Source organism: Homo sapiens, chromosome 2, assembly GCF_000001405.40.
Source record: "Homo sapiens chromosome 2, GRCh38.p14 Primary Assembly".
In the NCBI taxonomy this organism is placed as follows: domain Eukaryota; kingdom Metazoa; phylum Chordata; class Mammalia; order Primates; family Hominidae; genus Homo; species Homo sapiens.
The window spans coordinates 25,530,800-25,548,121 of NC_000002.12; the positions used below are offsets into that span (position 1 = coordinate 25,530,800).

General features: G+C 43.3%; 1 protein-coding gene across 30 annotated transcripts in view, besides 3 other annotated features; it reads right to left on the minus strand.

Annotated features, from left to right (window-relative positions):
* The window catches only part of DTNB (dystrobrevin beta), a 296,335-nt gene that overhangs the window by 153,557 nt on the left and 125,456 nt on the right, over positions 1 to 17,322 (minus strand). For all 30 annotated transcript variants that reach the window (NR_147180.2, NM_001320935.2, NM_001351393.2 and 27 more), the window contains one exon: positions 674 to 798. Coding sequence is in view for 28 of the 30 variants with exons in the window: in NM_001320935.2 (NP_001307864.1) it covers positions 674 to 798 (125 nt within the window). In the remaining 2 variants the exon portion in view is untranslated. The remainder of the gene's footprint in view (positions 1 to 673; positions 799 to 17,322) is intronic.
* Positions 4,315 to 5,144: an enhancer, noted in NCBI's record as "H3K27ac hESC enhancer chr2:25757983-25758812 (GRCh37/hg19 assembly coordinates)". NCBI's record gives its function as "activates a minimal SCP1, AML or CMV promoter by ChIP-STARR-seq in naive and primed H9 embryonic stem cells {active_cell/tissue: H9 hESC(naive and primed)}" and the evidence as "EXISTENCE:reporter gene assay evidence [ECO:0000049][PMID:30033119]".
* Positions 7,363 to 7,507: an enhancer, noted in NCBI's record as "145 bp 2:25761103 sequence used in MPRA reporter constructs". NCBI's record gives its function as "activates a minimal TATA-containing promoter with rs61671081 allelic activity by MPRAs in C283T melanocytes {active_cell/tissue: C283T}" and the evidence as "EXISTENCE:reporter gene assay evidence [ECO:0000049][PMID:36423637]".
* Position 7,435: a transcriptional cis regulatory region, noted in NCBI's record as "rs61671081 or 2:25761103 MPRA-significant variant associated with a GWAS melanoma risk locus at 2p23.3". NCBI's record gives its function as "allelic transcriptional activity by MPRAs in C283T melanocytes {active_cell/tissue: C283T}" and the evidence as "EXISTENCE:reporter gene assay evidence [ECO:0000049][PMID:36423637]".

Genomic DNA, 17,322 nt, shown 5'->3' on the forward strand with positions numbered 1-17,322 from the left:
TCTACCAAATTTATTCATCAGGGAAGCATAGTATCATCATTTAATTCAGAGTGAAGAAAGCAGTTTACAGGCTGAATCTTACCCTTCACTGTTTCTCTTCCTCCCTACTTTGTTCTTTCTCTATTTCTCAACTTTATTGTTCTCCTCTAGCTTTGCTTTACTAGCATGAATATTCAACTAAATACATATAAATAAATACATACAAAATACCAGTTTTATTTGTAGAATATAGTCTTATGTTTCCTAATTTTCCCTCAATACAAAAAACAGCAAATTAAGTTGATTTTCATTTCCATGTTGTCTACATTAATTTAAGTCCCTATGGGCATTACTGCTATAGAGAAAAAGATCTCTGCCACTGATTTAAGGAATGAACCCAAAATCACAAAAGGCAGCCCAGCTAAAACCAGAACAATAATGGCTCTTCAATGGGCTCATGTTTCTGGAGGCTGCCATATTACTCAGGCTTCAGCAATCAGGAGCTAGATTTCCATGTGGACACTTAACGGTGATTTACAGAGAAGAAAGCTTGAAGTCTTAAGTTCCCACAAAAGAAAGTAAAAACCTGAGAAGTTGAATGGTCATGTTAAGTGATCCCTGGTTTTGATCCACAGGAATTTCACAAGGCCCCCATTTCAGTGTGATCCACATGCACATCCAGGGGTATACTTACACTATATGTGCAAGGTCAAGTGGTTTCTCTGGTTGCTCAGGAAAAACAGGATGCGGGGGTTCTCTCGTGGGTACACACCCCAAAGATTTACTAATTGCATGGCTCAGCTTCTTTGCAGGAGATTTCTGTGTCAAAGCAGAAAATAGTAAGGAATTAACCCTTCAAAAGAATGAAAGGAACTTCAAAAAAGAAAAAAACTTTGTGACAAGAGTGTAAAAACATCTTTTCAAATACAAATCAAGTTTCATTACATCAATATCATTGGGCCTTTCAGAAAGGAACCTCCAGTTGTTCCAAGGTCATCTGTGGTCCTTCATTTCTGCAGTTCCTCCCTCATGTTTACTATAAAGTCACACTATCAAGTAATGTCAACTTTCCTTCTGGACATCTCTATGTACTCTTGGCAAGAACTCCCTCCTTTGATGCTTCTGGATCCTTTTTGCTAAGATGTTAACATTAATTTCCTGATCAGAGTCGGAACTTTTTGATGGAGGCCAGGCACGGTGGCTCATACCTATAATCCCAGCTCTTTGGAAGGCCAAGGTAGGTGGATCACCTGAGGTTGGGAGTTTGAGACTAGCCCAACCAACATGTTGAAACCATGTCTCTACTAAAAATACAAAATTAACCAGGCATGGTGGTGCATGCCTGTAATCCGTGCTACATGGGAACTGAGGCAGAAGAATTGCTTGAACCTGGGAGGCGGAGGTTGCAGTGAGCCAAGATCACGCCATTGCACTTCAGCCTAGGCAACAAGAGCAAAACTCTGTCTCAAAAAAAAAAAAAAAAAAAAAGAACTTTTTGATGGGCTACGATACTAAAAGGCTAAGAGCACACAGCTTATGGATGTTAGCAAATTAGCTAAGTAAGTCACATCCCCAAGATGTTAGGATATTCCCAAATAAACATGAGGCAGAACATTTGATATTAGGGGTCTGGTTATGCAGTCAGATACAGATACAGAGTACATTCACAATACACAGGCAGCACCAGACCCAGGACTCTATATTACAAAAATAAGTTGGCATACCAATACATTCTTCTGGAAGGTAGAATAATATCCACCAAAGACTACCAAGTCTAAGATTTAATCATAAATAAGCACAAAAGTAAGCAACATGCCACAATTAGGTTACACAGAACATTCACTTCTAAAACTCATATTTAAAGGAGGCTCCTTTTATACAGATTATACCGTCCACCCAATTCCCCTAAAATAACACTGTTATCTGAGATTTTCTTGGCAGGATATTAACTGTAAAAAAGTTTAAATATTTCATTCTGCTGCCTCTGCAGTTTATTATCATATGTGCCACTTTAATTGGAAAATAAAACATGGCTGCAGCTGTCTGCCTCATCAATGCCACGTCCCCAATAGACTTCTATATGCTGCTTGTTGTAGTATTTTAACACAAAGTAAAAATCTGTTTGCCTGAAAGACCATATAGGCACAGTTAATGAATACTTTATAATAAAGACTAAATAATACAATTTCTTCAGAAACTTCGTATATTGGCTCCAAATCACCTTCTACTATTCCCGTCAACATACTAAATTCTGGGAAAACTTGGTCAGGCACAGTGGCACACTCCTATAATCCCAGCACTTTGGGAGGCAGAGGCGGGTGCATCTCTTGAGCCCAGGAGTTTGAGATCAGCCTAAGCAACGTGGCGAAACCCGGTCTCTACAAAAAGTATCAAAAAAATTAGCTGGTGCGGTGGCATGTGCCTATAATCCCAGTGACTCGGGAAGCTGAGGTGGGAGGATCGCTTCAGCCCGGGCCGACGAGGCTGCAGTGAGCTGAGATTGTGCCAACTACACCCCACCCTGGGCGACAGAGTGAGACCCCATCTCAAAGAAAAGAAAAGAAAAACATTCTGGGAAAAGTCTAGATGTAACCTAATTTCCTGAAAGTATATAAAACGAAACATAGAAATTCTCAACTTCTCCCCTAACTTCTTTCCATTTTCCTTTTGCCCAACAAGTCGTGATGTGACGCTGATTCTTCCCCTATTAAAACCGTTTCTGCACTGCCCCCAGAGATCATGTCACTCTTCTGCTTAACATCCATCAAAGGCTGATAGTCACTTACAGAATGAGATCTAAATAAATGCCTTCATTTTCCATACAAAAGCTTTCACACCTGACTCCTGCCTCTCTCTCTTTCTACTTCCCACTCACGTTAAGTGATAAGCTGCTCACAGTTGACTCAAAATACACTGTGTTCTTTTAGGTCTCTGTATCTTGGCATGTGCCTTTCCCAGGTCTCCCTTTCCCAATCTATCTTTCTGTACATTTTTTTCTCATCTCTCAAGCCTGCTGGTCAGCATCCTTTCCTCTGTGAAGACTTTCCTCACTGCTCCATACGACAGCAAGTGCCTTTCCAGGCTACCCATTTACCTGTACCTGTTTCCACTGTTGCACTCACCATGCTATACTGCTGCTACACTGCAATTTTTATTTTTATTTTTATTTATTTATTTATTTATTTATTTATTTTTTGGAAATGCAGCGTTTATTTTTTTTTTAATTTTTTTTTAAGTATTTATTGATCATTCTTGGGTGTTTCTCAGAGAGGGGGATGTGGCAGGGTCATAGGATAATAGTGGAGAGGTCAGCAGATAAACACGAGAACAAAGGTCTCTGGTTTTCCTAGGCAGAGGTCCCTGCGGCCTTTGGCCTTCGGCCCTGTTTGTGTCCCTGGGTACTTGAGATTAGGGAGTGGTGATGACTCTTAAGGAGCATGCTGCCTTCAAGCATCTGTTTAACAAAGCACATCTTGCACCGCCCTTAATCCATTTAACCCTGAGTGGACACAGCACATGTTTCAGAGAGCAGGGGGTTGGGGGTAAGGTTATAGATTAACGCATCCCAAGGCAGAAGAATTTTTCTTAGTACAGAACAAAATGGAGTCTCCTATGTCTATCTCTTTCTACACAGACACAGTAACAATCTGATTTCTGTTTCTTTTCCCCACATTTCCCCCTTTTCTTTTCGACAAAACCGCCATCGTCGTCATGGCCTGTTCTCAGTGGTCGCTGTCTCTTCGGAGCTGCTGGGTACACTTCCCAGATGGGGCGGCCTGGCAGAGGCGCTCCTTCACTTCCCAGACGGGGCGGCTGGGCAGAGGCACTCCTCACTTCCCAGTCGGGGCGGCCGGGCAGAGGTGCTCCTCACCTCCCAGACGGGGTGGCGGCCGGACAGAGGCACTCCTCACCTCCCAGACAGGGTGGCGGGTGGGCAGAGGCGTTCCTCACATTCCAGACGATGGGCGGCCGGGCAGAGGCGCTCCTCACCTCCCAGACAGGGTGGCCGGGCAGAGGTACTCCCCACCTCCCAGACGAAGAGCGGCCGGGCAGAGGTGCCCTCCACTTCCCAGATGGGGCGGCTGGGCAGAGGCGCTCCTCACTTCCCAGACGGGGCGGCCGGGCAGAGGCACTCCCCACCTCCCAGATGAAGAGCGGGTGGGCAGAGGCGCTCCTTACCGCCCAGACAATGAGGTGCTCCTCACCTCCCAGACGAAGAGCGGCCGGGCAGAGGCGCTCCTCACCTCCCAGACGAAGAGCGGCCGGGCAGAGGCGCTCCTCACCTCCCAGACGGGGTGGCCGTGCAGAGGTGCTCCTCACTTCCCAGACGGGGCAGCCGGGCAGAGGTGCTCCTCACTTCCCATTCGGGGCAACCGGGCAGAGGTACTCCTCACTTCCTCCCAGACGGGGCAGCCGGGCAGAGGCACTCCTCACATCCCAGACTATGGGTGGCCAGGCAGAGACGCTCCTCACTTCCTAGACGGAGTGGCAGCCAGGCAGAGGCGCTCCTCACTTCCCAGACGGGGGTGGCCAGGCAGAGGTGCTCCTCACCTCCCATTCGGGGCAGCCGGGCAGAGGCGCTCCTCACTTCCTCCCAGACGGGGAGGCCGCGCAGAGGTGCTCCTCACCTCCCAGAGGGGGCGGCCAGGCAGAGGCGCTCCTCACCTCCCATTCGGGGCAGCCAGGCAGAGGCGCTCCCCACTTCCTCCCAGACAGGGTTGCTGGGCAGAGGCGCTCTTCACTTCCCAGACGGGGCGGCCGGGCAGAGGCGCTCCTCACATCCCAGACGATGGGCGGCCACGCAGAGATGCTCCTCACTTCCTAGACGGGGTGGCAGCTGGGCAGAGGCGCTCCTCACCTCCCAGACAGGGCGGCCGGGCAGAGGGGCTCCTCACATCCCAGACAATGGGCGGCCAGGCAGAGGCGCTCCTCACTTCCTAGACGGGGTGGCTGCCGGGCAGAGGCGCTCCTCACTTCCCAGACGGGGGTGGCCAGGCAGAGGCACTCCTCACTTCCCATTCAGGGCAGCCGGGCAGAGGTGCTCCTCACTTCCTCCCAAACGGGGCGGCCGGGCAGAGGCGCTCCTCACCTCCCAGAGGGGGCGGCCAGGCAGAGGTGCTCCTCACCTCCCATTCGGGACAGCCAGGCAGAGGCGCTTCTCACTTCCTCCCAGATGGGGCAGCCGGGCAGAGGCGCTCCTCACCTCCCAGAGGGGGCGGCCAGGCAGAGGCGCTCCTCACCTCCCATTCGGGGCAGCCGGGCAGAGGTGCTCCCCACTTCCTCCCAGACGGGGCGGCTGGGCCGAGGCGCTCCTCACTTCCCAGACGGGGCGGCCGGGCAGAGGCACTCCTCACATCCCAGACGATGGGCGGCCACGCAGAGATGCTCCTCACTTCCTAGATGGGGTGGCGGCCGGGCAGAGGCACTCCTCACCTCCCAGACGGGGCGGCCGGGCAGAGGGGCTCCTCACATCCCAGACAATGGGCGGCCAGGCAGAGATGCTGCTCACTTCCTACACGGGGTGGCGGGCGGGCAGAGGCTGTAATCTTAGCACCTTGGGAGGCCAAGGCAGGCAGCTGGGAGGTGGAGGTTGTAGCGAGCCGAGATCACGCCACTGCACTCCAGCCTGGGCAACATTGAGCAATGAGTGAGTGAAACTCCGTCTGCAATCCCAGCACCTCGGGAGGCCGAGGCGGGCAGATCACCCGAGGCCAGGAGCTGGAGACCAGCCCGGTCAACACGGCGAAACCCCGTCTCCACCAAAAACACAAAAACCCCTAAGGAGTGGCGGCGTGTGCCTGGAATCCCAGGCACTCAGCAGGCCGAGGCAAGAGAATCACCGGAGCCCGAGGCAGGGAGGTTGCAGCGAGCCGAGATCATGGCAGTACAGTCCAGGCTCCGCAAGAGAGGGAGACGGTAGAAAGAGGGAGACAGAGAGCGAGAGCGAGAGGGGAGATGGGAGACGGGAGAGGGGAGAGGGAGAGCTTTTATTTATTTATCTGTCACCAGGCTGGAGTGCAGTGGGGTGATCTCGGCTCACTGCAACCAGCGCCTCCCGGGTTCAAGCAATTCTCCTGCCTCAGCCTCCTGAGTTGCTGGGACTACAGGCGCGTGCCACCATGCCTGGCTAATTTTTGTATTTTTAGTAGATACGGGGTTTCACCTGGTTGGCCAGGATGGTCTCAATCTCCTGACCTCGTGAACCACCTGCCTCAGCCTCCCAAAGTGCTGGGATTACAGGCATGAGCCACCGTGCCTGGCCCCATACTGCAATTTTTAATTTGTTTGTCCATCTCTGTTATACTGCTGCTTCTGAGGGGTAGGATCTACATCTTATTCATCTTTGTATTTGAACAAATTATTTACCTAGATGAATTTTCCAGATTGCTTTTACCTACCTAGTAAAACCATATAAATCTTTTTTTTTTTGAGGATTACAAGTAGATGCAATCAGAGGACATCAAAGAGAACACCTTACTTTTACCTTTATAATGAAACACTGCATCTGTCATCCATGTATTAATTTCATGATTTTTTGCTATATCTGCCATTAATTCATGCAATGTATGTGAAATGCATTATCACACAGACTACTTTAGCTCCATCCTAAAAATAATAGCCATGAAATAGAAAGGTAAAATCAATACATCAAGATGAATTCCAAATAATTAAGGCACATCAAGGGCAGCTTGGTATGTATGGGAAGGAAAAAAGACTGAAATAAAGACATGTAATTAGAGTATTAACTAAGGCCTAGGAGAAACCAAAAAAGAGATTACCCTAAAAATTTTAAAACTATGTATCCAATTAGGTTGTCTAAACACATGAATAAGGGATTTCCTTAAAAGATCTCAGATTATGACTTGGACCTGAAGTGAATTTTGATAATGAGTTAGTTTAGGAGGCTACTATAACAAAGTCTCTAAGCAAGAGTTTGAAAAATGCTGTGTCATGACAGGGGCATTAGCTCTTCTGTCCAGTCAGCCCCTAGGACAAGGCCCCAGACTTGAGAGTGGATGACTAAAAATTTAAGGAAGCAAAGAGGGAGCGAGGACAGAAGAAGAACACTACAGGTGCGGGACCCAGAGTCTCCTTCACTTCATTTAAGCTCCTATATCAGAGATGCTCTTTAAGGTCTCTGTACTTTCTCCCAACTTGCACTCTAAAACTGATTTAATGGAGAGGTCTTAACGTAGAAAGTGAAATATTCTCTAAATACTCTTAGGCAATGATTTTAAATACCGTAATCCCCTTTACCTAATTTCAAAACATTTCCTATCCTCTCTTAAAAATACTACAGGTTATATTTTTAAAATATATCAGGCTGGGCATGGTGGCTCATGCCTATAATGCCAGCACTTTGGGAGGTCAAGGTGGGAGGATCACTTGAGGCCAGGAGTTCGTGATCAGCCTGGGCAACACAGCAAGACTCCATCTCAAAAACAACAACAACAAAAAATATATATATATCCAAACATTAGCCAGGTGTGATGACACATGCCTGTAGTCCTAGCCACTCAGGAGGCTGAGGTGAGAGGATCGCTTGAGTCCAGGAGTTTGAGGTTGCAGTGAACTACAATAGTGCCACTGTATTCCAGCCTAGGTGACAGAGTGAGACCCTGTCTCTAAATCTACATATATATACACACACCAAAGAGTATAAAATGTGTTTGTACAGTTTTCTTTTTTTTAGACAGAGTTTTGCTCTTGCTGCCCAGTCTGGAGTGCAATGGCGTGATCTCGGCTCACTGCATCCTCTGCCTCCTGGGTTCAAGTGATTTTCCTGCCTCAGCCTCCCTAGCAGCTGGGACTACAGGCATATGCCACCACACCTGGCTAATTTTTGTATTTTTAGTAGAGACGGGGTTTCACCATGTTGGTCAGGCTGGTCTCAAACTCCTGACCTCAGTTGAACCACCCACCTCAGCCTCCCAAAGTGCTGGGATTACAGGCATGAGCCACCACACCCAACTGTACAGTACAGTTTTAAAAGTTATAAAACAAATACCTACCTACCCACTATTCTGCCTGTGAAATAGAACATTAGTCACTCTGAAGACTCCTTACAGACCCTCATCCTAACACTATACCCCACTCCCACTCTGCCTCCTCCTCTCCTGATAATCACTATCCTGGATTTTGTATTAATCATTTCTTTGACTTTATTATTTTAGCAATTATGCATAATACATTGTTTAGATATGTATAAAACCTGTATAGTTCTCTATATAGTCTTCTGCGACTTGCTTCTTTCACTCAGTTATGTTACAATTTATCCATTCTGATGGATGTAATTGCAATTCATTCATTTTTTTCACTGCTTGATGGTATTTCATTGGTTAATTACACTGTAATTTATATATCCATTCCACTGCTGACAAACATTTGGGGTGTTTCCATGTTTTCCATTCATTCACAATGCTGTTGTAACTTTCCTGTCCGTGTCTCTTAGTGGCCATGTATAAGAATTTTGTAAGAGTGGAATTACTGGCTCATAGTGTTACGCGCATTCAATTTTACTAAGCACTGCCAATTTGTTTTTACAAAGTGGTAACATTAATTTCCACTCTCATCAGCTGTGTGAGAGTTCCTTAAACTTCACATTCTGGCCAACTGTTATTGCCAGACATGTTAACATTTGCCAAGCTGGTGGGTGATGAATGGTACTGTGGTTTTAATTTGCAATTCCCTGGTTATTAAAAAGATTGAGCCTCTTTTCCTATGTTTATGGGCCATTTGTGTTTCTTCTTCTGTGAAATGCCTGTTCCTGTCTTTGTCATAGGGTTGCACTGGATTGCCTTTTTTTTTTTTTTTTTTAACTCATTTGTAAGAGTTCTTTATACTTTTTGTATTTTAACCCTAGGAAAGTTGTATCTTACAAACAACTCCTATTATGAGGCTTGTTTCTCACTCTGCTATGTTTTTGATGAACATCTTTAAATATCAGTGGTCCCAATGTAGTAATTTTTTCCTTTATATTCTGTTCTTTTTGTACCTTAAGAAATATTTCCCTTCCTGAGGCCATAAGGTATACTTCCAAATTACCGTCTAAAACGTTTTATACTCTTCACTTTTCATATTTAAATCTGAATCTACTTAGAAATAATGTCTTGATAGGCATCAGGAAATAATCCAATTTTGTCCTACATTTACTACTTACATTTATCATTTAATAGTCCATTATTTAATAAATGGACTATTATTACATATATTCCTGCTGGATATATATTCTATTTTTGCTCCTATAACAACACCAGTGATTTTATGACTACAGCTTCCTCCTGTCTTTTCAGGAAGTGCAAGTGCCCCAGACCTACATTCTTCTTTAGGGTTGTGTTCACTATCTTCGGCCCTTTGCACTTTCCACTTAAGTTTTAGAATCAGTTTGTCATTTACCACCCAAAAAATCCTGTTGGGATTTTCATGGGAACTGATCAAATCTATAGATAATTCTGGAGAGAAGTGACATCTTTGCATACTGACCATTCCTTTCCATAACTGCGTTCATTTCCCCATGTATTTAAATCTTCTTTAATGTCTTTCAATAAAGTTTCATATTCTTCTCCATAAAGGATTTATATGTCTGTTCTTATTCCTAGTTATTTTATAAACATATTTTGTATACAGCAGCCCTGCTCTTTTTTTATAAGTTGTGATAAAACATACATAGCATAAAATTCACCATCGCAATCATTTTATTATTATTATTATTATTTTAGAGACAGGGTCTCGCTGTTGCCCAGGCTGGAGTGCAACGCTCAATCATTTAAAAATGTACAGTTCAGGGCCATGATGACAATGGCGGTTTTGTAGAATAGAAAAGGGGGAAAGGTGGGGAAAAGACTGAGAAATCGGATGGTTGCTGTGTCTGTGTAGAAAGAAGTAGACATGGGAGACTTTTCATTTTGTTCTGTACTAAGAAAAATTCTTCTGCCTTGGGATCCTGTTGATCTATGACCTTACCCCCAACCCTGTGCTCTCTGAAACATATGCTGTGTCCACTCAGGGTTAAATGGATTAAGGGCGGTGCAAGATGTGCTTTGTTAAACAGATGCTTGAAGGCAGCATGCTCGTTAAGAGTCATCACCACTCCCTAATCTCAAGTACCCAGGGACACAAACACTGCGGAAGGCCTCAGGGTCCTCTGCCTAGGAAAACCAGAGACCTTTGTTCACTTGTCTGCTGACCTTCCCTCCACTATTGTCCTATGACCCTGCCAAATCTCCCTCTGCGAGAAACACCCAAGAATGATCAATTAAAAAAAAAAAGAAAACAAAAAAAAAAAAGAAAAGCTAGATGATATAGAATATTCATGGTATAGAAAATAATGTAGGTACTAACAAGGTTGAGGCAAGTTCTACAGCAAGAATAAAGTTCACTGCTTTTATTGTCATAAAAATATATATATATACAGTTCAGGCCAGGCACAGTGGCTCACGCCTGTAACCCCAGCACTTTGGGAGGCAGAGGTGGGTGGATCACCTGAGGTCAGGAGTCCAAGACCAGCCTGGTCAACATGGTGAAACGCTGTCTCTACTAAAAATACAAAAAATTAGCTGGGCGTGGTGGTGGGCGCACCTGTAATCCCAGCTACTTGGGAGGCTGAGGCAGGAGAATCACTTGAACCCGGGAGACGGAAGTTGCAGTGAGCTGAGATCACACCACCGCACTCCAGCCTGGGTGACGGCAAGACTCCGTCTCAAAAAAATAAATAAATACATAAATAAAAATAAATAAATAAACAAGTACAGTTCAGTAGGGTGAAGTATATTCACGTATATTCATGTTGTTGCGCAACCAATCTCAGGAACGCTTCATCTCATAGAGCCGGAAGTATTTGAAAAATGCCCTTTGCCCCCTCCCTCCAGCCCCTGAAAACTGCCAATGGACATGTAGGATGCTTCTGTCCCTTGGTTATCATGAATAGCGTTGCTATGAACATGAGTGTACAAACATCTCTTTGAGACCCTGCTTTCAATTCTTTTGGTTATATACCCATAAGTGGAATTGCTGGATTATATGGTAGTTTTGCTTTTAACTTTTTGAGGAACCACCATACTACTTTCCACAAAAGTTGCACCATTTTGAATTCCACCAATAGTTCACAATGGTTACGATTTCTTAGGGTCGCCAATAAAATGTTGAATAAAAGTGGAGATAACAAGCCTTCTCGTTTTGTTTTCAATCTTAAACCTTTTCAACATTTTGCCAGTAAATGTAAGAGATGCTATCAGATTTTACAAATACTTTACATTAGGTTAAGGGAGTTTCTCCTACCCATGGATTACTAAGGTTTTTGTTGTTGTTCTGTGTGTGTTTAGTCAATAGATGTTGGGTTTTTTGGTTTTTGTTTTGAGACTGAGTCTCACTCTGTCACCCAGGCTGGAGTGCAGTGGCGCGATCTTGGCTCGCTGCAACCTCCACCTCCTGGGTTCAACCAGTTCTTCTGCCTCAGCCTCACCGTGCCCAGCTTAGATGTTGGGTTTAGTAAATATTTTATATGAGTCTTTTGAGATAATTATAAGGATTTAATCCATCAATCTATGAATGTGGTAAATTATAAGAATACACCCTTAATTGCTGAATAAAACCAGTGTGGTCATGATATATTATTTTTCCTAACCACTGCTGAATTGAGTTTTCTACTATCTTCTTCATGTTTTCATTTATATTTGTAAGAAGAGAATGGCTTGTAATTTTCCTTTTCTTGCTGATTTTTAAGACTTTGGTACCAATGTTATTCCCTCTAGCCTCAAAAATGAAACTGGGCATGCTCATTACTTCCTACAGAATCTGGGAAATTTTGTATAATACTGCAATTATTCTTTTATTTGAATGTTTGCTGAAATTCACAAAAAGTCACTCAGGCCTGGTTGTTTCCTTTGTGTAAATATATTGAGCAAATTCAATTTCTTTAATAATTATGTTATTATTTGGGTGTTCTATTCCATCTTGAATCGGTTTTGGTAAGCAACGCTGTTTTAGAAATTTGTTAATTTCAACTTAGCTTTTAATAACCAAATGTACAGTTCTTTTCTTATCTTTTTATCCTTGATTTCCCAGAGAATACAGTCTATATGATATTATACTAATTCTTTTTTGAGGCTTCCTTTATGTGGTCAATTTTTGTGTATTTGAAAAAAAAATGTGCAATCATTCATTGCTGGATATGTTAAAATTATCCAGTTTGAAAATGTATTTCTCAATCTCACTGTGTTCCTGTTAACTTTTAATTTATATATCTGTAGAATTGTTAATTTTGTCTTTTTATCTTTGATAAACCATCTCTGGTAAAGACTTTTTAAATATGATAAAAATATACAAAGTCTAAAGTTTACCATTCTAACCTCTCTGGTAAAGATTTTTGCCTTAAAATCCTTTTTCTAAGACTAATATACTTTCAACAAATTTGTTTTGATTAGTACTTGGCCTGGTATGTCTTTTTTATTCTTAACTTACAAGTTCTCTGTGTCCTTATTTTTTGGCTGTCTCTTGTAAACAGCATAGAGACAGGTTTTTTTTGTTTTGTTTTTTGTTTTTTTTTTGAGACACAGTCTTGCTCTGTCGCCCAGGCTGGAGTGCAGTGGCACGATCTCGACTCACTGCAACCTCTGCCTCCCGGGTTCAAGTGATTCTCTGCCTTAGCTTCCCGAGTAACTGGGATTAGAGGTGCGCGCCACCACGCCCAGCTAATTTTTGTATTTTTAATAGAGACAGGTTTCACCATGTTGGCCAGGCTGGTCAGGAACTCCTGACCTCAAGTGATCTGCCCACTTCGGCCACCTAAAGTGCTGGGATTATAGGCATGAGCCACTGCGCCTGGCTGAGACAGATTCTTAAAAATATTTGACAACTGTTGCTTTTTATCTAGAAAATTTAATGAATTTACTGATTAGTAATATATTTTTATTCATTTTTATGGCTTATTATGTCATTACTTGTTTCGTCTTTTTCCTATTTGTCCTTTTCAGGTTTTATTTTCTTATTTTATTTTCCTCTTTTGGAAATTTGCTCTTTGAGTTTACTCTTCTAGCAGCTACTTTTGTTGTTGCTGTTGTTAAAGTAACATTTATTGAGAACTTACTGTCAGGGACTTAATGGGTGCTTTTAACTCTCAAAATAGTTTTATGAATTAGATGTTAACATATAGGCACAGAAATTAACACTCAGTGTAAAAATTAAGGCTCATATAACCAGGTCTGTCACTCTTTTTGTGGTACAAACAGCCCCTCAACAGGTAAAATTACTCAAGAGAAAGAACCGCTGGCAACTAGGAGGGACAGCCACGGCAGTGAGGCATTCTATTTCTTAGAAAGAAACAGGCACCCGCAGCCCAGCGTGGGGGATGTGGAGTACCACCCTCAGGGCTCGCGGGTTGGGTCATGAAGGTGAGTCAGGGGTGGGGACACGGTGTCCAACTGAGGGACAGATTCCAAAGTGGGCAGCAGGCGACTCACTGCAATGGTTTCATGTGTGCTCCTGTGCCAGGGCTGAGACTTGTTTTCCTCGGATAACCATGAACCAGGCACTGCGATACTCTGCAAAACTTTTTCTTGAGCTCAGATTACTGTGTTTTCAATCAGCCTCAAGCTAATTCCTTGCACAGCACAATCTTCAGCTCAGGGTATACGCTGACAGGCCCTGACATTGGGAACATAACAGCCTAATGGAAAAAGCTCAGGATTGGTGACTTTGAGGCCATTCCTGTCATTTTCACTTCCAATTACTCTCTCTTTCTGAGCACATCATCCTGAACTCCAAGCCACACCATCTGAGGGGATCTAAGCAGAAAAATATCCCCCAGTGGCAGACTCTTGGTACAAAGCCTGCTAAAGCCTCAGACAAGTCAACAACTTTCTCTATTTTAACATGAACACTTACCACAATCTTAATCAACATCTGTAACCTCACCTAGTAACTTCAGTCCTTTAATCATGCCTCAACCAATTTCATGCCATAGTTTAGTACTTCAGCTGCACCTTATTATAAGCTCACCAAAATTAGTAATTATTATTTATACCTGGTGCTTAAAGTCATCCACATTTATCAATTCCACTTTGCACTATTTCTTCCTTCTTGCCTCAAATTATTTTTTGCTCAAAGTATATCCTTTATTAATTCTTTCAGCAATGTTTTGTTGGTGACAAACTCCTTGAGACTTTTTTGAAAAATACCTTTATTTCTTCTTTGCTCTTGAATAGATTAGCTGGGTAGAGAAATCTGGATTGATCTTTTTGTTCCACCCTTTATATCCTTTACTCACCTTTCACACTTTCCATCTCCTTTTATCTGTGTTCAGCACTCTGTATTCTGATTAATCTCATCACATCTAATTCCCATACCCTAATTTTCACTTGAACAGTCTCTAACTTTCTATTTAACCCCTCCATTGAGCTTAACTTTAATATTTTTGATTTCTGAAAGTTAAATTTGGCCTTTTTTCATTCAACTTGTCCCTTTTAACAATGCCACTATTCCCAATTTCATTTCTTTAACTTTTTGAATGTGCCATTTCTAAAGTTCTTGGCATGCTAAACCTATCTGTTGTGTTTGTTTGCTGATTTTCCCTCACAGTAGATTGTTTTGTGATTGGGTTTGCAATTTTTGGTAATAAGCTCACCCTTAGCAGGGGTTGTTTTCTGCATAGGAGTCCCATTTGAACTGAGCTGTGGAAGTGTATGGCTACAGAGGGATTTTTTTTGTCTTCTTCTGGCAGGTACTTCAGAGCAGTGCTATTATCCAACAGAACTTTAAGGGATGATGAAGACTTGCTATACCTGCATTATCCAATATGGAAGCCACTAGCCCCGTGTGGTTACTGAACACTAGAAATGCTGCTACTGGGCCTGAGGAACTTTATTGTTTATTTTTGAGACAGAGTCACCCAGGCTGGAGTGCAGTGGTACGATCTTGGCTCACTGCAGCCTCCGCCTCCCGGGTTCAAGCAATTCTCCTGCCTCAGCCTCCTGAGTAGCTGGGACTACAGGTGTGTGCCACCATGCCTGGCTAATTTCTGTATTTTTAGTAGAGATGGGGTTTCACCATGCTGGCCAGGCTGGTCTCAAACTACTGACCCCAAGTGATGGGCCTGCCTTGGCCCCCCAAAGTGCTGGGATTACAGGCATGAGCCACCGTGCCCGGCTTAGAAACTTAATTTTTAACTTGCGAACCCTGAAAGAGTCAATCCTTCCAGATGAATCCTGAGTGGCAAATGGCCTAAATTCAAATACAGCCAAGCAGCCATTTGCTGGCTAGAGGTCACACACATACTCTGCCTTCCCAGCAAACCCTATGTTTATTTAACATTGGGACTTTCATAACTGTCTGTTCCTACCTCAGGCAATAGACTGTGACTTGCATCAACCAATCAGAACTCAGCAAACATCAACCAATCAGAACTAGGCAAGTCTGCAACCGTCCTTTGCATAAGTGGACCAGGGTGGGAACCTGGACAGGACCTTTCCCTATAATAGACAACCCTCTCTTGGTTCTCTCACAAGGTTTTGTGCCAAAGGCTTCATTTTGTGCCAAAGGCTGCATCTCCCCAGTGTGCAAACTGTTCACTAGAATAAAATCTTTTTCCTCTAAACTTTTCAGAAAACTGGTAGATTTTGTAAGTTTTCTTTTTTCCCAGAGCCTGGCTGCTGGATATTTTTTGTACCTTCTCTGGGCCACTGGAGTTTTTCTAGCCCCTCTTTGTTTTAAGGAGGCAGCTCTTCTAAAGTCCTGGCCTTTACAGAAATATTAGTTCCACTTACCTTGTTTCGTGAACCCAAGACAGATTTCCTACTTCATGGGGGCACTAAACCCTAACCTCTGGGGCTAAATCCAGTATCCAATCTGATAGACCCCTGGAACACCACAGTGTTAGGTTTAATTCTGATAGCCAGGGCTTTCTCTGACTTTTAATCAAGCTAAATTCTACATTTCAATTGTTGTTGTTATGTTTAATCCAGCGTGCATGTCTCTGTCATTGGAGAAAGGAGATTACAATTAGCTTAGTTTGCCATGTTGCTGGAGTCAGCAATTAGGTTGGTGCAACAAGATAGGATAGATCTTCTATTCTTTTTTTTTTTTTCTTTTTGGAGACAGAATCCTGCTCTGTTGCCCATGCTGGAGTGCAGGTGGTGCAATCAGCGCTCACCATAGCCTTGATCTCTTGGCCTCAAGTAATCCTCCCACCTCAGCCTTCTGAGTAGCTAGGACGAAAGGCATACACCACTGTGCTAAGTTAATTCTTTTGTTGTTGTTGTAGAGACAGGGTCTTGCTACATTGCCCAGGCTGGTCTTAAACTTCTGGCCTCAAGTGATCCTCCCGCCTTGACCTGCCAGAGTGCTGGGATTATAGCAATGAGCCACCACACCTGGCCAGACTTTCAATTATTTTAAATGCAAGTTGAATTATTCTTGCATTTCCAGGATAAGTGCTACTTGATAATGCTCAAATAAATTTACTAATTTTTTAATGTAGAAATTTTATACCTGTATACTTCTTTTTTTTTTTAATCTACCACTAAGAGTCATGCACCTGTATTCTTTCTTTCCTTTTTTTTTTTTTTTTTTAAGATGGAGTTTCACTCTTGTTGCCCAGGCTGGAGTGCAATGGCACAATCTCGGCTCACTGCAACCTCCGCCTCCCGATTCAAGGAATTCTCCTGCCTCAGCCTCCGGAGTAGCTGGGATTACAGGCACCCACCACCATGTCCAGCCCATTTTTGTGTTTTAGTGGAGACGAGGTTTCACCACGTTGGGTCAAGCTGGTCTTGAACTCCTGACGTCAGCTGATCCACCCGCCTTGGCCTCCCAAATATGCACCTGTATCCTTATGGGAAGACAGCTTATAATTTTCTCTTTTGGTGTTGTCCTTGCCTGTTTGGGGATGAAGGTTATGCTGGCCTAGTAAAATTGGTTGGATACATTCCAATTTTGTACTCTGGAATGGTATATATCAAATGAAAATTATCTGTTTCTTGAAGTTTTGAAAGAACTCACCTGTGAAATAGTCGAGGCTTGATGCTTTCTTTGGAATGTAGATCTTTGATTCTCATTCTAATATTTTTAACTTGCTTATTGACTATTAAAGATTTTCTACTTCTTTTACCAAATTTGGTAATACCTATTTTCTTAGAAAATTGTATATTGCATTTAGGTCTTCCGATTTATCAGCATAAAGTTGTTCATAGTATTTTCTTATAATTACAGAAAGCAAAACTGTCTGTACCCCATATCAGTTTTCATTTCTGAAATTATGTTTGTACTTTAAAGAAATTAGTCAATAAATTAGACCTATTTTACTAATTTTTTCAAATAGCCATCTTTTTGTTATCGTGATCAAGTTTCTTA